Source organism: Homo sapiens, chromosome 18 (genome assembly GCF_000001405.40).
Source record: "Homo sapiens chromosome 18, GRCh38.p14 Primary Assembly".
Classification (NCBI taxonomy): domain Eukaryota; kingdom Metazoa; phylum Chordata; class Mammalia; order Primates; family Hominidae; genus Homo; species Homo sapiens.
Window position 1 is genome coordinate 52,795,427 of NC_000018.10, and position 23,855 is coordinate 52,819,281.

Consider the following 23,855-nt stretch of genomic DNA (forward strand, 5'->3'; position numbering starts at 1 on the left):
TGATCCTTTCTATTTCTGTTGTATCAGTTGTAATTCCTTCTTTTTCATTTCTAACTTATGTGGGTCTTCTCTTTTTCTTGGTTAATCTAGCTAGCAGTTTAAAAATTTTACCTTCTCAGAAAAACAAGTTTTTGTTTTATTGGTTCTTGGCAATGTTTTTCATTTAGTCTGTTTTTAGTTCTCTAATTTTTGTTATTTCATTTCTTCTGCTAATTTTGTTCTGTTTTCTTATTTTTTCTAGTTCCTTAAGGTGCATTGATAGGTTGTGTATTTGAAATCTGTCCACTTTTATGATGTCATTTATTGCTATAAACTTCCTTCTAGCACTGCTTTTGCTACATTCCATTGGTTTTGGCATACTGTTTTTCGTTCTTATTTTTTCCAAGACATTTTATTTCCTTAATTTCTTCATTGATGCAATAGTTGCTCAGGACCATGTTATTTAATTTCCATGTAGTTGTACAGTTTTCAATATTCTTTCTATTAAATATTGTTCAATAATGTTATTGAATCAATATAGAATAAAACTTGTCTTATTCTATTGCTATATCCTCCTGCTAATATGATTTATTTTTCAATATATGACCTTGTCTCTTCAGTTTTTCATTTAAATTGTTTTCTATAGGTACAGTTACTTTTTTTTTTCTGCTTTTGGTTTCCATTTACATGGAATATCTTTTTTTATCCCTTCACTTTAAATCTATATCGGTCTTTATAGGTGGAGTTAGTTTCTTATCGGTGGCATATAGCTGAGTCATTGTTTTAAATGCATTCATCTAGTCTACATCTCTTAATTGGGGAATTCTGCTTACATTCAAGCTTATTAATAAGTGAGGACTTACTCTTGTCATTTTGTTAGTTTTCTGGGTGTTTTATATACCATTTGTTATTTTCTTATGGTTTATCATCATGGTTTGGTGATTTTCAGAATGGTAACACTTGATTCCTTTCTCTTTCTCATTTGTGTATCTAGTCTACCAGTGAGTTTTATACTTTCATGTATTTCCATGATGGTAGATATTATCCTTTCACTTCTGGATGTAGGACTATTTTAAACATTTTTTGTAGGAACCAGTCTATTGGTGACAAATTGCTTCAGCTTTTGCTTGTCTGGGAAAGACTTTATTTTTCCTTCATTTTTGAAAGATACCTTTGCTGGGTCTAGTATTTTTGGCTAAAAGGTACTTGTTTTATAAAGCATTTTGAATATGTCATTCCATTTTCTCCTGACCTGCATGATTTCTGCTGAGAAGTCCACTGTTAGTCTGATGGAGGTTCCCTTTTATGTGACTTGATGCTTTTTCTCTTGCTGTTTTTAGAATTCTGTCATTGTCTCTGACAGTTTGACAATAATGTGGCTTGGAGAAGACATTTTTGAATTGAACCTATTTGGGGATCTTTGAGCTTCATCTATCTAGATGTCTATATGTTTTTCAAGACTTGGGAAGTTTTTAGCTATTTTTATTAAATAGGTTTTCTATGCCTTTGCCCATCTCTTCTCCTTTGGGAAATTCCAGAATTCATTTAAAATTTTGGTCATTTTATGGCATCCTACTGGTCACATAGGCTTTCTTCATTCATTCCTTTTTTTTTTCTTCTGCCTGCATTATTAGAAAAATTATTTTGCTTAGCCTATTGACACTTGTATTTTTTTATTTCTTTGATTTCTTCAGTTCTAGGACTTTTGGTGCTCTTAACATATCTGTTTCTTTTTTGAATTTCTCATCTAGAGCATAAATTGTTTCTCTGATTTATTTGTATTGTTGGTGTTTTCTTATATTTCACTGAATTTCTCATCATAAAATTTCTAATAAGGAATTCAAGATAAAGTTCCTGTTTTGGGGATCTGTTATTGAAGAATTATTTTGTTCTTTTGGAGGCATCATGTTTCCTTTTTTTGTTTCTTGTGTCCTTATGTTAATATCTGCACATCTGGTGTAATAGCTGCTTCTTCCAATTTTATGGATAGGCCTTTGTAAGGAAAGATATTTTCCTACAGATGTATTATAGTATTGGTTAAGTAAGTTGCTTTGGCTTTGATTTTGGATGGGTATAGCAGTGTAGTCTTTGTATGACTTCAGTTATATTCAGTGTCAGCGATATCTGGAAGTACCTAAGTGGCTTAGACTGCAATTGTTAATGGAGGTTGTGGTAAGACTTTGATGGGGGTGGGAACATCAGCTGGGTTAGTTCTTGTGCACCAGTTTGGCAGCAGTACAAATGTTGGGTCTGACCTCAGGCCTCTGGATGGTGTGTGCAGGCACCAGCAGTGGTAGGTAGGTTGAACTTATACTCTGCCCTGTACAATTTGTATGGGTGCTGGCAGCAGTGGTGATGGGTGGGATGGAACCCCCAGTGGTATATGTAGCTGCTGGCTGTGATGGATGGGGCCAGGTCCCCGGACAGTACATTCACATGCAGGTGGCAGTGGCAATGGGAAAGGCTGGCTGGTTCTCAAGCCGCATAAAACACATGTGGGCAATAGCAGTTGCAGTGGTGTGTGAGGCAGGCCTGTTCTCAGGCACCACTGGTGGTGGTGGGTGCACTGGACCTGTTAGACCTCCATATGGTGCCTTTGGAGGGCAGGGAAGATTAATCCCCAGATGCCAGGTTGCTTGCACGAAGGTTGCTTGCACGAAGGTTGCTTGCACAAAGGCTACACATAGCAGCTTCTTCCTCTGGTACCTAATGAGATGTTGCATAGGGCAACCATCAGTATCAGATAGGGTCTGTCAATACCCAGGCCTCGAACAATGTGTATGGCAAGGCAAGCTTTGCAATACATAATTTTTAAGTGACTTAATATCAGGCTATATCTTAAGATTTATATGTCTTTAATAGAGTAGAGAAAACAAAAATTTGGAAAACATTTCCTTACTGAGTGGTAGAAGTAGCAGACTAGTCTTTGGCTGATCCAGAGAGACTGCAGAGGAAGTTTCTTTTCTTTTTAAAAATGTTTTAAAGACAGAGTCTCACTTTGTTGCTCAGGCTGCCCTCTGACTCCTGACTTCAGGTGATCCTCTTGCTTCAGCCTCCCAAAATGCTGGGATTACAGGCATGAGCCACTGCACCTGGCCCCCTGCAGAGGAACTTTCTAATACAATTAGAGGTGTTTTTCTTTGTTAAAAAATAAAAATCCAAATACTTTCTGAGTTGAAAGGAAGCTACTCTAATTGGCCAAAGATTATTTATAACTGTGTCTGTGAGGCTAGTTAGGCTAGGAAAAAAACCTGAAAAGGGTGAGTAGGAAAAACAATAAGGCAAAGGAGAATGCAGTGAGGTGGAAAAGCTGTATTTAGAGCCCCAAACCATTCGTATGAAGTTTTGTATCTTTTTTTTTTTTAAGGTGGAGTTTTACTCTTGTTGCCCAGGCTGGAGTTCAATGGTGGGATCTTGTCTCCCTGCAACCTCCCCCTCCCAGGTTCCAGTAATTCTCCTGCCTCAGCCTCCCGAGTAGTTGGGAGGTGCCTGCCACCACGCCCAGCTAATTCTTTATATTTTTAGTAGAGATGAGGTTTCACTATGTTGGCCAGGCTGGTCTCGAACTCCTGACCTTAGGCAATCTACCCACCTCAGCCTCCCAAAATGCTGGGATTACAGGCGTGAGCCACCGTGGCCAGCCTTATGTGTGTTTTATTAATGTTTGAAATAAAACAGGAACTATTACAAACTCACATGAAATGTTCTTGTGATGCTTAATACATATAGACATATTTCTAAAGATTTTCTTCTGAAATTAGAAGCCATCTAATCCGTGGCTACTTGAGACTTCCATTAATTTATACACATTCAGCGGAGCTAACATTCTTATGATCCATGAAGTTGTTTATGTTGTCCTGCATTGAACTGCTTCAGATTGCTATAGTTTGAAGTTTGGGAATTTGGGGAGTAATATACTCCTCATTTTATAAAAAGGAAATAAACTTCATCAAAGGTAAGAGAATTTTTGTTTTGTGGCATGATATATTATTGCTCATGGGTATACATGTAACAAGGAAGCATGAAAATGAGAAGGTGAAAAAAAGGGAAGATCTGTGACTTGCTTAATATTGCACACCTACAATTGGGCAAAATCAAAATTGAAAACCAGGTCAGTCTCATATCAAGTCACATGTTCATAATCATGATAGGCTCTATCCAGTAATTTCAGCAATTGTACCCAAATACCTAAAGTTAATTCCACTTTCCAAATACTTGTATGGAGCCCATCTGGCACCCATGAATCAGTATTTTAGAAGTTCTCTCAAATGGCTCGGTGTCCAAGTGCTAGGTTGGTTACTACAAAAAGCCCAGCATAATTGATTTCTGAACAATTGCCAGGAAATAAACACCAATCTATTAATGCAGCTTGATTTCTGATACTTTGTTTTATCTGTTAATAACTAGCAATATAATAATAATGCCTATTATAATTGAATCACTTACAGGATTAATGTCAAGTTTGGCTAGTTTGTTGTTGGGTGTGGATATTTTAAGCTCTAATTGTTCTTCAGTTACATCATTTTTTCCACTTGACGGGGAACTCTGTAAGGGCAGAGATGGTAGTTCTTCACTTTGAATCACTAATGGCTATCAAAATTTTAAGACGTAGTAGTTGTCAACAAACATTTGCTGAACTAGTTTAAATAATTTTTCTAAATTATACTTTTATTATGATAAATAGTGATAGTATTCACTTTCTTGTGGTGTTCAGTGAATTAATGAAATTAGTTACTGCAGAGTTCCTAGTGAGAAAAGGCATCCATGGGTCCTACTCAATAAGTACCTTCAGCAAAATCTGTTCTGAAAGTCAAAGTGTTCCCCAGCTAATACTGTGATGAAAATGCCTGCAGAATCAAATGCAATATGACATTCAATGTTTTAAATGAGTCATTAAACAAAGAATATTCCAATATTGTGAATCTTCTGTGAAGTTTTTACAGACTGATGGAATAGAAAAGATAGTATTCTATTTTTACAACAAGAAATACTGGGAGATGCACTACAAAATGACATTTCCAGTGAGATTTGAGCAGCATCTTATCTTTCAATGTGTTCTTTATTCATTGATTCAGGGTATCATTCCTGGGGTATATAGGTGAATATGACGATGATAATATGTCTGGCAGTACATAGATTGCTATCCTTCTCAGTTGAAAATGGTGTTGACGGTGAGGTTAGATGCAGATAAAAAATAATCTTTGTGTGATAGCATTTTCAACACCAAACAGATGTTGCATACTTATGAATCAGTGACTTCTCATAAGTAGCAAAATGTACATTGTGTTAACGTATCACCTTGTTTTCATAAGTACAATTGGTTCCTGAGAGGCTGCAGAGTATAGTAGAGTAAAAGCAAGAGAAGTTTTCTTTTTTCTCCCTGATGTATCAGTTATTGTTGCACAGCAAACTACCTTAGACGCTGTGGCTTAAAACATCTATTTATTTTATTCATAATTCACTGGGTAATTCTACTGGTCTGGGCCAGCTGGACTGGTATAATTATGCACCTACTATAAGCTGGCGTATTGGCAGGGTGCATCATTGACAATAGCCTTGTTAGAGAGATAGGAGCCTTTCTTCAGGTAGTCTCATCCTCTGGCAGGCTAGCTTGGAATTGTTTGCATTGAAATCCCATGGAGATTGCAGGGTTCCAAGAGTGAGAGTCTCAGTGTGCAAGGTCTGTCTCTTGAGTCCTGGGCTGGAACTTTCAATGTGGCTTCTGCTACATTCTACTGGTCAAAACCCATCTCAAATTCAGCTGAGGCTTAAGAATTATAGAAGTACACTCTTCCCTATGATGAGAGTGGAAGAGGTTACTACCATTTTTAGAATTTGCCACAGCTTCTATTGTAATTCTCAAACCACCCTCTTCAAGAAGTCATGTCTTTTAGTGATAACCATAACCACAACTACAACAGTAACAACAGCTCACACGTATGGAGGACTTAATTGTAACAAAGCCTATTCTAATGTTTTATATGGATTAACTCAATTTTCACAATAACAATGAAGGATGAGTATTAGTTTTTCTTTATGGGTGAAAAAAAAATTGCCTCACAAAGGGGTTAATCATTTTACAAAACATTAAAAATTTCCAAAAGAAGATTGCCTTAGTCAAATAAATGCAGAAAATGCAAGACAAAATAATAATTAAAAGTCTATCTATGTTTCTATCCATACAACCATTTATCCTCTTGGACTTCTCAAAGTTTTGAATGCAGTAAAGTATATTTTGAATCTTACAGAAGGGAAAGAAGGTTATAAGCCACGTTCAAATTTGGAATCTAGGAACCCCTTCATTTTGCAGAGTATCTGTTAACATCTTACATGACAGTGGTATTCTATGGAACTGTTTGTAAAATGCTGTAATTAGGCTTTAAACTAGATTCCAAATTGCCCTGATTTGTAGCACATGTATCTCTGTCACTGAGACTATAAAGAATATAAAACATGCAATATGCCTGCTTTTTTTCTCTATGTGCTTGTCTGTTCAAAAAATCAGTGACCCTTTAGACATGCAGAAGTTAAGCCAGATGTGTCTATGAATCACCTCAAGGGTTTTAAGCCAAGTTATTTTGCATTGCATTATTCTATTCTTTTTTTTTTTTTAACCATTCCCTTCTTTTTTTTATCAACATCCCTCTGAGCAGTAACACAGTATTACTGCTCTAAGGGATGACAGTTGGCAAATAGTACTATAGCATGGCAATAAGATACAGAATGAAAATTATACCTGTGTCAAATTGCTTCTGAATCATTTACTTCAAGATAGTCAAATTAGGAAGACCACCCCTGAGCCATACAGATGAGGCAGTAGGTTGGAGAAAGTTATCTCTAGCTCTTTAGGTTTTAGTATCTACCGTTTAATATTGCTATTGCCAGAGTAGCAATCTGGAGGAGAGTTTTGGAATCAAGATTAGGCTACAGAAGGAATTTAAGGTGTGTGTTTTTGTATATATACATATACATGTATATATATAACTGTACGTAATTGACCCTTGAACAAAACAGGGTTAGCCATGCCAACCCCCACACAATCAAAAACCCATATATAACTTTTTACTCCCAGCAATTTTTTTTTTTTGAGACAAGGTCTCACTCTCTTGTCCAGGCTGCAGGGCAGTGGCATGAACAGGGCCGACTGACTGCAGCCTCAGTCTCCTGAGCTCAAGTGGTCCTCCTGTTTCAGCTTTCTGAGTAATCGGAACCACAGGTACACATCACCACGCCAAGCCTTTTTTTTTTTTTTTTTTTTTTTTTTTTTTTTTTTTTTTTAATGGAGACACAGGGTCTCACTGTGTTGTCTGGACTGGTCTTGAACTCCTGGGCTGAAGTCATCCTCTAGCCTCAGCCTCCCAAAGTGTAAGGATTACAGACAGGCGCTACTGTAGCCCAGCCCTGAAAATCTTAACTACTGATAGCCTATTGTTGACCAGAAACCTTGCTAATAACTAGCATAAACAGTTGATTAACACATACTTTGCATATTTGTTATATATTGCATTCTTGCAACAGTGTAAGCCAGAGTAAAGAAAATGTTATAAAGAAAACCATAAGGAAGAGAAAATATATTTATTAAAGTACTGATTAATACTGTAGGTTTATATCATGTGTTGACAAGATGAATAATCTGTCTGAAGTGGTGGGCAATGCAGCTGCAGAGGTCAATCTACAGTACATATCAAACAATTCGGCCTTTTCTTGTAATGTCATGACTTGTCTCTGCCTCTTGGGAACACTTTGAACATCACTAGTGGCACTTCGTATGGGTCCCATGGTGTTATTCAAGGTTTACAATATTGCACTAAACACTATGAAAAATATACAAGAACTGCAAGAGATCACTTTTTCCATGATAAACAATTTATTGAAGAGATGAACTGCTCTGTGGAGATGATGAGCATCACACGGCATTTTAAGTGGATACTCACAACACTTGAACTCACTGCAGTAACAATGGGAGGTGGCTATGAAATTATCACAGTAGTACAATGTGTACTACAGTTAATTTTATGCATTTATTAGTTAATGCTGCATTCTGTTTACATTTCTCTCTACTGTGAACGGTGCCATGTACTGTCTGTGCACATTTTAACTGTTTTATACTAGATTTGTGTATATTGTAGTAAATGATAAAATAGACTAGTACCTATATATTATATACATTTAGAGTATAACTTAGTTTTACTTTATATTTAGGCTACACGGTTTGTCTGCAAGGTTTTCAAATTATTGCAAATCTCCAAAAAAAGTTTCCAAAATGTCTATTGAAAAAAATCTCTACATATAAGTGGAGCCTCACAATTCACACCTAGGTTGCTCAAGAGTCAGTTCTTTATATAATTTGCCTTAGAGAAACAACACATTCATTCAATCCACACACTCATGGACCTCTCCAGGAGTTTGTAAAAGAATAGGTAATGACCTAATATTAACTAAGTAAATGCCAGCATTTTATTTAATCATCAAAACAACACGATGAAATAGATATTTTTAATCCTCATTTTTACATATGTGATGACGTTTTGCTGGGGATGCAGCACCAGATGGGCCAGTCCTTGGGCACCAGCATGGTGGTGGTGGTGCGAAGGCTGCACCTGGACTCGGGCGTCTGGGTGATGTGTGTGGGTGCCAGTGGTGGCATGTAGGGTAGATTGATAACCTGGCCCCTGTACAATGTGTGTGGGCCACCTTGAAGAGGAAGAATCACAATTTTTACCTCCAATATTTTTTAAATGGCACCACTAAAACCAAAACAAATCATTAAATGTATTTATATCTTACCATGTGTCACATTCTGTTAAACACTTTACATTCTTCATCTTATTTAGTGTATACAACTTTAGTTCTCATGATTTCTTTTTAACGAAGGAAGAAACTGGGGCTTAGAGAGTACATAAATTGGTCAATATCATACCATTTGTAAATAACAGAAAAGGTCCATGATTTAAAGCCAGGCCACTCATGACCAAAATCTGTTGTTCTTCATTAAATAAAACTTCAACTTATGAAATAGTTTCATCTACATTGTATCGTTGAATCCTTAAAACAGCTCAGCTGGGTCAGAAGTATCATCGGTTTATAGACAAAAAAAGATAAGAATCAAAAAAGTTTGGTAATTTCCCCCAAGGTCATAAAGCTACAGGTTTTTTGTTGTTGTTAGTTTGTTTTGTTTTTGAGACGGAGTCTTGCTCTGTCACCAGGCTGAAGTGCAGTGGTGCGATCTCCGCTTACTGCAACCTCCAACTCCCTGGTTCAAGCGATTCTCCTGCTTGAACAGGAGAATTCTCTCAGCCTCCTGAGTTGCTGGGATTACAGGCATGTGCCACCAAGCCCAGCTAATTTTTGTATTTTTAGTAGAGACGGGGTTTCACCATGTTGGCCAGGATGATGTCGATCTCCTGACCTCATGATCCACCCACCTTGGCCTCCCAAAGTGCTGGGATTACGGACATGACCTACTGCGCCTGGCCCTAAAATTTCGTTTTAAAAAAATATGCCTGGTGTTTCTTCTAGTTGTCCATATTTCTTTCTTATGACAACAGATAAAATACACAAACTTTATATTTTCATCAGGATAGATTTTTTTCAAGTCTAGCCTCTGCCACTAAATGTGTAATTTTAAACAAATTTCTTAATCTCTGTGAGCCTTTGCTTCTTCATCTCTCAATTAAGGGTAGCAATTCTAGCTGCCTCACAGAGCTATTGCAAAGTTTACATGAAAATGCATACAAATATGTCTAGACAAGTGCCCAGTGTGCAGGAGAGACTCAATGTATAATCTCTGGCTTTCCTTCTCTCTGTGCCTTTCAACGCAAATGGAATAGTTTCAGGATAAAGAATGGTCAGCTTACATAACCAAGTGAGGTGTATATTAACAGCTGGCACCAAAAGTCATCTTAGGAACTTTGTCAGAATATCTTCATAAGCCTTTGTGGAAGATGTGACTCTGACAGCAGAGATGTCAACAGGAGACCAAGCTATAAAAGGAGAAGGTTAGATGGTCTAGATAAAAAAAATTATATGAATTTTTGTTTTGCTCACAAAAAGGAAGGAAATAAGAGACGAATGGAGAAGGTAGGGAGGAGAGAGAAGAGCCAGAGAGGTAGGATGAGGTGAGGATATATGTGCTGGACAGCCAGGTAAAATTCTTCCACAGGTTATAGAAAGATATTTTAAAAATGGGACATACATTGTTAATTTAAAATTGTTTACATTACCTTGATTTAAAGTCTACCAAAGAAACTACTTTCAGTAAAGTCTACCACAAATGAATACTAGAAATGAATGTTTCATATTCTATATGGATTACCATGACTTAAACCAGAAATACATAACTGGAAGTAGAAGGGAATTCAAGAATGTAAGCCACCCTCGCATTCTCAGAAATCTGGGCAACTTGAGGATCTAAGACAATTTTCAAGGGATCTCAAGAGATAGGCAGTACCAGCTGACATGTGGATTTTGTGTTTAGTTGAAATATCCTCTTTTTATTTGAAAGTCCACTTAAATTCACTGTACCAAGAAATCATTTTAATTTCAGCATGATTTAGATACATTTGAAGGAGACAAACTGAAGATATTACCATGCTTGAGGTTTAAGGTGATGAAGGACTTTTAGGCATATTTGAAATATACCCCTTAACTGTTAACATTGACACCAGTGGTAAGAAATTTCCTCCATTAGATAATACCGGCTTGAATAAATCAGAAGCTTGCTGTGATGGATCATTTCTGTATCTTATTTGCAGTTAATAGATATTATTTCTTAGAGCAGTTTTTGGTTCACTATAAAACCAGGCAGAAAGTAAGAGACTTCCCATACACCCCAGTCCCCATACGTGTAAACCTCGCTCCCGTCAACATCCCATGCTCTAGTAGTGATATTTTTGTTAAAATAGATGAACTTACATTGATACATCATTATCACCCACATTCCATAGTTTACATTAGTGTTCACTGTTGGTGAGTCTTTGTTTTTACCTACAAACTTATTACATTGGTAGTGTTACCATCAAGCCAGTGCTCACCAAAATAGGGTCTTTACCTTTTTAGTGCCCTGAAGCTAATATGCAAAATTGAAAGTGAATGCATAGGCTTTATTTGATGGCCATGAAATTGAGAAGCAGAAGCTGGGATCACAAACTTCTCAGTCTGTAAGAGCCAGAACTTCACAGATAAAGGGCATCTTTAATGAAGTGGTTGGGCATTAAAAGAAAGGAGAGGAATATTTGTCTTTTCTGGGAATGGGTAGAGAACTTCTTGTAACCAATTGCCACCTTTCTTTCTGTCACTTTATGGCTTCTTCCGGTTGTCATGATTGTAAACTATCATGGCAGTGGTGGGAGTGTCATTTAGTATGAATATTAGATTATAATATGAAGTTAGAGGTTCTTCAGAAGTCAAGTGAGCCACCATCTTGGATCCTACCAGTCTTAGCCAGTTTGGTCATGAGGGGGAACTTTTGACCTCAGGCATCCTGTTTCCTAAAGATATGCAGAGTTGGTTAGGTGCAGTGGCTCACGCCTGTAATCCCAGCACTTGGGGAGGCTGAGACAGGTGGATCATGAGGTCAAGAAATCAAGACCACCCTGGCCAATATGGTGAAACCGTATCTCTACTAAACACAAAAATTAGTTAGCTGGGCTTGGTGGCGCGTGCCTGTAGTCCCAGCTACTCGGGAGGCTGAGGCAGGAGAATCGCTTGAGCGCGGGAGGTGGAGGTTGCAGTGAGCCGAGGTCGCGCCACTGCACTCCAGCCTGGTGACAGAGCGAGACTGTCTCAAAAAAATTCAGAGTTAAGGTGGAGTGGTACTTTACCTAGGTCACATAGGCATTATACTGGGTAATACTAGACGCACTGCGCCTCCTGCCTCTCTAGCACGGTGAGATGCCCCATCTGAGCATACATCTGTAGCTAGATTGCTGATGACTAAGTATAAAATACAACCATTTCCCAGACATGTGAACTGTATGGTTCACTGCAAAACTGATATGCTCCCTGTGATATTAATACACTCACTCATATTTCACACTTTGTCAAAGAGAAAGCTGCGTATATATAAATTCAAACATACATACTTGATTGTTTTAAAATAATGACAGCAATATTGAAAGCACAGCTATTAGTTTAGTAATGAATAGCAAAAAGAGGATGCTGGAGGCTTTAATGGAAGAAGAAACATTATTACAACTTTGTCCTCAGGATCTCGCTTTTCATTACATATCAGTCTGAAATAAATATCAGTCTAAAATAAATCAATTCCACCATATTCTTCTCTTTTTGCCTCTGGACAGGTTTTTACCAGATCCGTATATAATACTTCATATTTTTACCAACTCTACTGCAAACAGGTGTTTATCCTCTTTGCGAAATGCTGCTTTAACATAGGTGCAGATTTAAAGAGTTTAATGTGATTTTACGTTTTCTTATTATGAGGGAGGGATCATCCAATCATACACCTCATCTCTCAATCTCTCCTGGATACATATGGGAAATATTTCATTCACTGGTCGTTTGGTCCAGGGAACTGAAACTCATCCCCTTTCATGTGTTAATTCGGACTGATACCACATTAAATGGCTCAGGGGCCTTGGCTCTGGGGTTGCTGTGACCGCTAATGCTTTGTGTTGCTAAAACCCACACATCAAATGTGATGCCTTCATTTTGCAGTTATTCCCTAGCAAGTTTCCCTTTATGTATGAGATTTCACAAGCTTAGGTGCCTAATAAGAACTAGTAGAATCACGTGCACACATATACAAGTTAGGAGGAAGTGTTTAGGCACTATCTACCTGAATCTATTGCTATGTCTAAAAGGTCTTGTTCTGGATTTTTGAATCAGAATTATTAGTTTGATGTTGAGCCTTGTTCCTTCATGGTAGACTTTTGCCAAATGATGTGATTTGACATCTAAACCACTAGGAAGCATTTCATAGGTGACATACCAGTAGACAGCCTGTAATTCTGACTAAGTGACTCAATCAAGATTTGGCTTTTTTTTTTTTTCCTACAACCTCCCACCCACAAAAGTCTCAATATCATAGATTGAACTATAAATCTTGTCATGAAAAACAAAAGACAAAATAGAAAACAATTTTATAAATGTAAAATGGATCACTGTTAGAAAAGAAAAAATAAAAATTGGCATGGTCAGGAAAATACATAAATGGAAACTCCCTATTTTGGAAGGGATAATGATGGAGAACACTGTTCCAAAATACAATACATAAATCCAAGGGAGTGTCTCCTGCCACCTGCCAGTGGCAGGCAGAAGTTTCCCTGTTGTACGGACTCCTTGCTTTAATCATATTATGGAAATTCTTATGATTGATTCTGCTGGGTAAATAAGGGTGTCCTTAAGTTTAACCCCATTGTCTGTACTCACTTCTTCTTTTGATTGTCAGTTTTCTATATTCTTACTTTCCTCTCATGTTCTAAGCATTGGATGGTCTGGACCTATGAGATTTTAGAGCTTCTCAACGGACTTAATGACCAATTAAAGCTCTTTCTTAAACTGTAAATTTTTGGCATGGGGATCTTGACTAAAATGTTTCCACTTACTTTAACCCTAGGTTTATGTCTACAAAAGCGTATGCCTGGGTAATCCTGGTTTCTTGAGGATGCCATATGCCAAACAGTCAGTAATTGCATTTCTGTTGGTATTGTTGACCAATTCCCTCATATCTTACAGGTTTGGGTGCAGCAGGGATCCAGAAGGAACTGCCAAAAATGACAGCTAGGAATTTGAGGGCATCTTTAGAACATTTGAAGTTTGGCATTTTAGTACAAATATTGTTATTGTTGCTAGTTTTAAATTTTGCCAAGGACATACCCTAAAGTACAATTAAACAAGGAAAACTAGAGATACCATGTATTTTGTTACTGACAGGTCTTTGTTCTTAGAGCTCCCAAGATGGCGGCAGGCCACTCCCAAGATGGCAGCAAGCCTTTTATTCTCTGACCTGGGGTTCTTGGCCTCATGGATTCCAAGGAATGGAAACTTGGGCCATGTGGTGAGTGTTACAGCTCTATTAGAAGCCATGGGTCACAGAAGAGAACCGTGGAATCCAGTGACTAGTGTTCAGCTTGATTAGGATGAACCCGGGCACTTAGCTGCTCAGGAACAATGGCGAGCCTTTAGCCATATCGGGAGTGGCAATGGGCGACTTGCTGGATCAGGAGTGCAGCGAACACACTGCTGGATCTGGAGGGGTGGAAATCAGCAGTGGGTCTGTGATGGCGGCAAACAGCAGTGGGGGACGGTGAGTAGAAGCTCAACTTGTGCCCTAACAAACACAGACCAGAAGAGCGTGCAGTTGCAAGATTTCATAGAGTGAAAACACAGCTCCCATACAATGAGAGGGGACCCAAAGGGGGTTGCCACTCCCAACTCGAATGCCTGGGGTTTATATCTCAATCATTGTCCCTCCCCCTGTGCTCTCAGATGATAACTGATTTGACTATTTCTTTACCTCCTGCTTTTAGCCTAATTTGTATTTTAGTGAGCCCTCTACCTGATTGGTTGGGTGTGAGCTGAGTTTTACAAGTCCCGTGTTTAAAGGTGGGTGTGGTCACCTTCCCCAGCTAGGCTTGGGAATTCTTAGTTGGCCTAGGAAATCCAGCTAGTCCTGTCTCTCAATTTCATAAGAGAAAAATCCTTCTAACAACCAAAAAAAAAAATATATTCTCAAAAAGTTTATTGAAAGGAAACAAATTGGATATAGTTTACAAAAAGTCACCAAATTTTAATTTTCTTAAGACAACAGGAGCTAATGAAAGCATCACCAATGACCCACTTCTAAAGACAGGAGGAAGAGATGTATGGGATGCAGATAGAGACATCTAAGGCAGGGAGGGGATCCAAACCAGCACAGAGATAGGAAATTCTGCTCATAAATGGGTGGGGAGTGAGAACGATGCAAGCCAGGGACCCCTGGCTGGTGATGCCCTACCTGGGCCTTGCTCAGCCATGCTATTATGCCCCAGCTCACCTATGTTATAGCTTATACCAATCTGGCAGTTCCTGAGCTATTGTACCATGCCCAAGAACAATAAGGATGTGCTGTATATTGAACGGTGAGGAGGGCAAAGAAGAATTTTAGTGCATGATGAGACAGCTTTCAGTGGAGAGGGGGACATAGGGATGTTCCCCCTACCCAAAGGTGGGAAAGTCCCCCATGTGGCTGGGTCTGAGGTCTTTTATGGACTCAATGGGGAGTGCGCACTGATTGGTTGGTGAGTATGCAAAAATGGTCAAAGCAAAGATACCACTCAAAGGTGGGCATGACAGTGTAGAAAACCAATTAGGAAAGGGTAGGTATTTTTGAAACAGGTGAAGGGTAGGGATCAATCAGAGGAAAGCACACCAAATGGAAGACAAGTTCTCAATCTAGTCTGAGGATTTAACTTGTAACTTGGCTTTCAGGCTTCAAACTGTCTTCAGCTCGGAGGTAGGGTTTCACTGGGGGCCCACCCCAGTCTGCCTAGGTATTTGGCTGACTCCTGTACTCTTGAGAGGGATGGCAGATGGCACGTTGTTTCAGCATCTGAAATATAATGTGGATGGGCAACTGGAAAGACAAAACAGCAGCAGTGGCATGAACAGAGCTTAGCACAGAGGGGACAACACACAAATCGTTGATGAATTTTTAAAATGTGGGAAATTGAACAATTCAAGCTATAGTCTGCATTTCAAAAAAGATATGTTTGCTTAAAAAAACAAAAAACAACAAAATGACCCCTTCACCACAAAGGATCAGCCTATATCACACACAGGTACATGCAAACTGGCAAATTGTCATTATCGTCTTTCACAGGTTTTATGAATAAAAATGACCTATGAATATTTATATGATACCCTTTTTCTTATCACTTTTGGTGGTATTATGTAATGAAAATACCAGCTCAGGTGTTGTTATGGGCGACATTCATTAGTTTGTTGGGTTAACTATGAGGATGAGCTAATTACTTTTAAAATGTGCTTTCATCCAGTGATTCAACAGAAAATACCCATGCTCAATAGCATTCGCTTGGTTAAGAAATGAAATTGGGCAAATAACTTATATAAATTAATGTTGGAAAATTATATTGAAGAGGGACTCATAACTTACTAAAAATCACTAAAGAAAACTAATTTGGATTGAGTAAAATTTTCATACATTAAATTGAGTAACTGGTGAAAGTTTTATTTTTTTACATTACAAAAGAAGTAAACAATTTTAGTACTACAAACACAGTCATAATCTTATTAAACATAAAAAGAATTGATATTATAAATTATAAGAAGAGATCATGCTTTGTAGCTTTTCATTATTTTTATCGAAGATCTGAATAGACGGATTTTCTTTTTAAAAAATGTTTTTTGCTTCAAACTTAGCTCTAATTCTCTTATATAATTGACATCAATCACACTTTTAATTATCTTTATCGTATCAAATAAAGACATTTGGTAAATCTGAGGAAAGAATGAAATCCAGCCCAAACAAAATTTCGGTTTATTCTGTTATTTTTTGAAATCTCAACTATGTTTTGTATTTTGAAAAATAAGCAAAGCCAAATTTCTTTCAAAAGGCAACTTTTAAGAATTTGCTGTTTTTAATTTGGATTAGGATTGAGAGCCAGCATGGTCCATGAAAGTGGTTTGAGAAGAAAAATAATCTGGTTTTCATAAGTAGAAACCTTGTTGAGTTAGGAGAAAATCACTCAGTATTTTAGAAATTGATTGAAAATGATTGAATTTAGTTTGGAGCACTTTTTCTTTTCAATATGTAGGCTTACAAAATATAGCATTTATAATTCACCTCAGCTACCCTTTCTGATATTATTTTTGTTTTATATTTTATGTGTGTTTCAATTAAATTTTGTAAGATCTTTCTTAGAATGTTATTTTCCCTTTCCAATGATCAATGTCTATGCCTTGCTTCTAAAAATATATACTTATTTCTCTAAATTGAGGTTGACAAGTTAATTGTGATTTCAGGTAGGAGGGAAGACAAGTATCTTCAGTACAACCAACAATTCACTTTATTAATGTTTGTCTTCAAGGAGAGCACAAAGGATGCATCAGAAAGGCAGAAACACACATATTGTGCTCATCAAAGGTCTTAAAGGCCAGAGAAGAGAACTTGGCAGGAAAGTTATCATCCAAGTTCAATTATTTAATCTTAAAAAACATATGATTTAGTTAGATAGCCAAAACCTGGGTAGAACTCAGAATAGATACTATTTATTTTCAAAGCCTAAGGGCATGCATTTTCAGAAAACTCAGTGGCTTAAATAGTGCTTAAGAATTTACATTTAATTAAACTGGATGCAGGTAATGGGGGTCTGGGTTTCGGCTGTCTCACATTATGTACTTGCTGCTCATTGTGCCCAAAGGCAAAGCTCCATTTAAATTCAACAGATCTTAGCAACTACTGAACACTGTTGGGCTGAGAATTTGATAGTGTATCAGGCTGGGAACTTACGCCTCTGGGTAAAGATAGGCCAGAATTCTGTGAGTGTTAGCAATGATCACCAGCAATCAGGCAGAAACCCTAGTCTCCCAAAATTGTAGAGTGGGGAGGGTATTCAGTGAGCTGATCCACTTAGTATTTACAGAAAAAGAAACACATGGCTTCTGAAACTCCAATGAAGAGAACACATGGGCTTAAGATAGCTATGTTTTAAAGAAAATAAAATGATGTGAACTTTCCTTGGTTCTGAAATAAAGTTGAACTTAATGATCCCTAATGATCTTTCTCTATAAAATATCACAATTCCAGGAAAAATCTTCTTAAATTTTCTGATACAATTAGACACTGATCTCTAATCTTTGTGGTGGTTGTAGTTCACTAAATGCCACATGAATATGAATCCACATTTTTGTAAAGAATTTGCTAGAATTTGCAGATGTTATAGGTGAAAACATCAATTGGAGTACAAATGTATTAGGGTAAATAAAGGGCAAAAAGATGGTAGTTTTTAGGGAGGGGGAACAGTACAGAATGGCACATGAGATGACTCTTGACATTCTGTATGCAAAGTGGGTCTCATCTGGATTATCAACTGTCACAAACCAGGGATCATGGTGGATTCCACAGTATCACATGGTATGGATTAAGGATATACTTCACAGGGGACAGTGGAAACTTAAAAGTTATATGTCGGGAAGAAAAGACAATGTGTGATGGTTAATTGTGTGTGTCAGTTTGACTGGTACACAGTGTGCCCAGATATTTGGCCAGACATCATTCTTGGTATATCTGTGAGGTTGTTTTTGGTTGAGATTAACAGTTGAGTCAGTCAACTGAGTAAAGCAGATTGCCATCCCTAGTGTGGGTGGGCTTCATGTAATCAATTGAAAGCCTGAATAGAACAAAAAGGCTGAGTCAATGAAAACTCTGCCTGCCTAACTGCTTCAGCTGGATATTGGTCTTTTCTGGCCTTCAGACCAGACTGCAATGATGCTGCAACAATGACTCATCTTCTGTCTTGAGGCTGCTAGCTTTCAAATTGGAACTTTTACTATCATCTCTCCTGATATTCAGGCCTTCAGACTTGGACTGAAACTACACATAGGCTCTCCTGGGTCTCCAGCTTGCCCACTGCAGATCTTGGTACTTCATAACCATTACAATAGCATGAATGAATTCCTCATAAGAATAAATCCTATTGGATCTGTTTCTCTGGAGAACCCTGACTAATACACATAGGTGTACCCTGTTCTTTCATTCTCCTAGAGGTGAGCCACAGCTAAGATATCGTGGGTTTGTGTTGCAGTGCAGGGATCCTGCCTGCCATACCTCTCCTAGCCCTGTGAGTCAAGCACAAGGTCAACCTCATCAGTGAAGGAACAAACAAAATATTGGGAGCCAGCCAGTCTGGAGTGGGATAGGGCCTATACATAGAATTTTCTGAGATACCAGTAGCCTGACTCCTGGAGACCTTGTGACCCATGACAAGTTTCCATCTTGACTGCTGTGAGGAGGAAGACACAAGCAGCTGAGCTTAGGTGCAGTCTCTCCTCTGGGAGAAAGAGAACTCTGACACCTCCTCTTTCAGGCAACGCAAAGAGAGCACCAGGGTCTCTTCCATACAATCTTGATCCTTGTATCACAAACTGATGATCTATGAATAGCACCATGAAAAATGTAGTCTTGCATACAAGAAAAGGTTAAGATAGAAAATAAAGATTGCTAAATAATAGGCAAAAAACATTTAGTATTTACTCAAATGTAATACGCTTCCTCCCAAAATTATAGTTCATAAATTTGTATTGAAAAGTAATTGGAAATATAAACTATTTAATTAGAATTCATAGGCTATAGAATATCAAAAAGCCTTTCTTAAACTCAGTTATGATGGGAAATGCATAGATTTTTCAGCAAGTAATAAAATGAAGATAGGATTACATTGGAAAGAGCAAATTGTGCATGATTCTCTGAATGGAGGAAAACAGAAGCAAGATTAGTTAAGACGTTGGTACAGTGAGTGATTAGGACCCTGGAATGAGGTGGTGATGGCTAAAAAAAATGAGGCTATATTTCTGAGTTGCTTGAAAGACAATGGGTCATTCAAATGTGGTGACTCATTATAAATGGATGGAGAGAAATCAAATATAACTTCAACATTGCAAAAGTGGGCAACAAGAAAAAATAGGGACATCAAACGGGGTGGGCTGGGGGTATCTATTGTAGGCCAAATATAGTAAAAGACTTTATGATGAGAGATACCATCCAAATAAAATGAAATACAGGCTTAATAATTTTGGTGAAATATGGACTGATTAGCATCTGTTTAATGAGTAGAAAGTTAGGTAATTGACATGAATTGTGTCCCCTCAAAATACATGTGTTGAAGCCCTATCCCTCAATGTGGCTGTATTTGGAAATAGGGCCTATAAGGAGTTGATAAATGTTACATGAGGTCATAAGAGTGGGTCCCTAATCCGATAGGTCCAGGGCCCTTATTAAAAGAGGAAGAGATAGTAGAGCGCTCACTTGCGCTTGCCTTCTCACACGTACACACACACACACACACACACACACGTTCTCTCTCCACGTCCCACCACCCCCCTGCCCCCCTGTCCCCACCAATGTGAGGACACTGTGAGAAGGCAGCCACTTGCAAAGAGAATAGAGCCCTTACCAGGAACCAAGTTTGCTGACACCTTCAACTTGGACTTCCAGAGCTGTGAGAAATTAATTTCTGCTGTTGAAGCCACTCAGTTGCTAGTGTTTTGTTATGGCAGCCAGAGCTGATTAACACAGTAACTTTCATGTTTACAAAACAAAATAATTATGTTTTACCCTAATTATTGTATTTGAGGCATAAAAGCTAAAACATCAATAAATCATAAGTAATAATGATTTATTAGATAACTATGATATATCTCCAATGATATAGGACATGTTATATAAATATCTTGCAAAAGACATCGACAACTCCAGCTGGATTTGCTTTAGAAATGTTTAGCTTTGGAATTACATGGAATGACAGAATGTGTCCAAAGGCCACCAGTTTGCACATTTACAACAGAGAACAACTTTATTAGGCTACAGATAGTGACCTAACGTAACAAAAAAGAGATAAACCAACCAATTAGTGAATAATAAGTAATAGCAACTGATAATTATTGTGCCCTTGCATTGTGTCAGATATTTTCTAAGCACCTCACATGTATCTGTTTCGGAAACTTCTGTGCTAGGGAGATACTATTATTAATCCCATTTTTAAGATGAAAAACTAAGGCACAGTGAATCAGTAACTTGGTCACACTCACACAGCTGTGAAGGAAATGAGTAGTAGTGAATGACAAAAATGCTGGCAATTCATAGGTCCAGCCATTGTCATGCAGGAAAAAGGGGAAATTTTTATAAACATTGGTTGAAAAGTTATACTGAACTGAAGGAACTTATAAGGCACAACACGGTCTAACTCTCCAGTCAACGAAAACATTCCTCTCTCAGCTGCTCTGGTGGGTCATCCAGGCTCACAGTGAATGTTCCCGGCAAGAAAGTGCCTTCCTGCTTTCCAAAGAAGTCCTTTTCAAGGTGGCGGAGCACTGAATAGTACAGAATTCATCAGTATATTGAGTTCAGATCCTATCTATAACTTAGGTACTTTTGTTTTCCTGTTTTAAAGATAACATTAAGAACCTGCTGTTTTTTCCTCTATAGAATCTGGCATTTACAGCACTTTCTCATCGATCACACCACTGAGTGTTACCATTCCTATTTTACAGAGGGAAATGTGAGGCTGAGAAAGTTTGGACAACATAGCCATGGCAGTTTATAACTCAAAGTATATGGATGGATGACACTCGCTAGAGAGTTGCAACAGCCGATGCAGCTGTCCCCAGGCCCCAAACTCACTTATATTTCCTGAAACACCAGGAAAAGCATCTTTTATTTTTATATGAGAGCCCTAAGAGATTATTTTCATCTTATTCAAAAATGAAAAGATTTTATTTAATTAAAAAATCTATTTCTATTATCTTAGAACTTTTGCTTCTCAGTGTCAAATATTTTTGGTTACCTCAGTTACTTTTTGCAAGGTACAGTTTTCAAATCCCATTTCATCCTGATTGTCCTTCCCTGAATTATTTAAGTGTAGTTTAGCTACACTTAAAGCACAGTATTCGCTAAAATTGGAAATAATGTTCCAGACGTTATATTACATTGACCATTATATCCCTTGATCCAAATTATTTATTGTTGACAATTATTACTTAAGATAATAAAGAATAAACTTCTACCAGAAATACCAGAAAATCAATATATACATATGTAAGAATGGAAAAATGAATAATATAAATTATTTACTATTCCATTGATCAGGCCAATCACTTTTTGTGTAATATTTCTTGATTTGTTTTCTATGAATATTTTTATAATATCTGCCTTTATATTACATTGATTATTTTGAGTTCTGCTTTTCTTCCTTTGCCTCAATAGCATCGAAATTTTATAGATACTCACAAACTCTGAGAATATGATTTTAATGCCAGTCCTTCAGTAGTCATCTTTATAGAAAATGCTAAGTTAATTATAAAATTATAAATGATTTGGTGATTAGTATCTTTGTAAATATTTTGCTACCTTCTCATATTTTAAATTATTAGGTACATATTTTCATAATTGAGATTTCTGGCTTGAAAAGTATTTGAGAATTATAGAATCTTTTAAGTCAGTCTCTCTTCCTCTTTCTAATATATATTTTCATCTTAATGAGTGATGACAATGATTTTTTTCAAAAAGAAAAAATGAAAACGTATTTGCCTAATGTGTATGTACACGCATGCATACATAGACACCCACATATTTCTTAACACTGCATTTTTAGAAAATTCAAACTTGGATATTTTCTTTAGGAAAACTCCCAATCTGAAATATAAAATGTTTATATATATATATGTGTGTGTGTGTGTATAATTTATGTGAATACATATAAATATACACATATAATGAAATACAGTACTCAAGGAGACCAAAAAGAGAATGAGGGTAAAGCCAGCTTGTGGAATGCTTTGCATACTATGCTAAGTGGATTGTTACGCCATTGATAAATTTTAAGCGTCATGGATAAATATGAAATGCTACATGTCATTGTTTTGAAGAGGTAGTGATGATAGTTTCCTAAGTCTAATTTTATGCTGCTGGAGAAAACAGAATGATTAGAATTCTTATTTATGCCTACAGAAAAGAAGCTGGGCACAGGGGCTCATGCCTGTAATCCCAGCACTTTGGGAAGCCAAGGCAGGAGGATTACTTGAACCCAGGAGTTGGAGACTCACCTGGGCAACATATAGTAAGACCCTGTCTCTACAAAAAATTTAAAAATTAGCTGAGTATGGTGACAAAAAATTTAAAAATTAGCTGAGTGTAGTGGTGCATGCCTGTGATCCCAGCTACTCGGGAGGCTGAGAGAGGAGGATTGCTTGAGCCCAGGAGGTCAAGGCTGCAGCGAGCTATGTCTGTGCCACTGTACTCCAGCCTCGGCAACAGAATGAGACCCTGTCTCAAAAAGTAAAAAAAAAAAAAAAAAAAAATTTAAAAAGAAGATGAAAAGCATATATATCAAATAGGCAGCATTTTGGCAATTAGAGCCATTTGTAAAATGGGTGAATCATGAATCCTATTCATAGTTTTATGCTTACTGAGCTTATTGATGCAAATGGCCTGCTCTGGGATACTAAAAGATATAAAATTGAATGAAATAAGGAACCCAAAACAGGTGAAGGAGAAAGATCATTAGATCAATGGTCACCAAACGTTTTATTTAGGTAGCATCTGAGATTCTATTGGACTATCTGTACATTCCACTCTTCATGTGCTAAACACATACTTGGTCATCAAAACATTCAGGGAATAACATGCTAGGAAATGCATAACACAGATAAATTGAAAGAGTAATGGGCATCAAAGCCATTTGGTGCAATAAAGAATCATTACCTCCATGACAGTGGCTAGTTAGAGAACAGATACAAAAAGTTAGAGACTTGAATCATTCTATCAATTACATCTAAGACTTGCATTCTTAATTTTTTGTATTTTTCTAAGGTGATTCATGGAGAGAATTAGCTTGTGACTTAACACTACGGAGTTAGGCAAATAAGCATTTAAGTGAACATCATAAAACTGGAGGGGTTACAAAAGAGATAGGAGATATAATCTCTAAACTTAGAGAAGTTTACAGTCGTTTTACAGAAATATTTTGCATGTAGGTAACCCCTGATTAACAATACAATCAAGTGCTGTGTTGTGTGGGTCAATATGAGCTATAGTATCAAAATAAAAGTGAAGAAACCAACAAGACAAAGAGCTAATCACCCTCCTCTTCCCAAATTAATCTTCCTCATTGGTTCTAAAATATGCTTTCACTGGTAAAATC

General features: G+C 37.4%; 1 protein-coding gene across 4 annotated transcripts in view, besides 1 other annotated feature; it reads left to right on the plus strand.

Annotated features, from left to right (window-relative positions):
• DCC (DCC netrin 1 receptor) overlaps window positions 1-23,855 on the plus strand; it is a 1,195,703-nt gene that overhangs the window by 455,230 nt on the left and 716,618 nt on the right. The window lies entirely within an intron of this gene.
• Window positions 12,330-12,831: an enhancer, noted in NCBI's record as "NANOG hESC enhancer chr18:50334126-50334627 (GRCh37/hg19 assembly coordinates)". NCBI's record gives its function as "activates a minimal SCP1, AML or CMV promoter by ChIP-STARR-seq in primed H9 embryonic stem cells {active_cell/tissue: H9 hESC(primed)}" and the evidence as "EXISTENCE:reporter gene assay evidence [ECO:0000049][PMID:30033119]".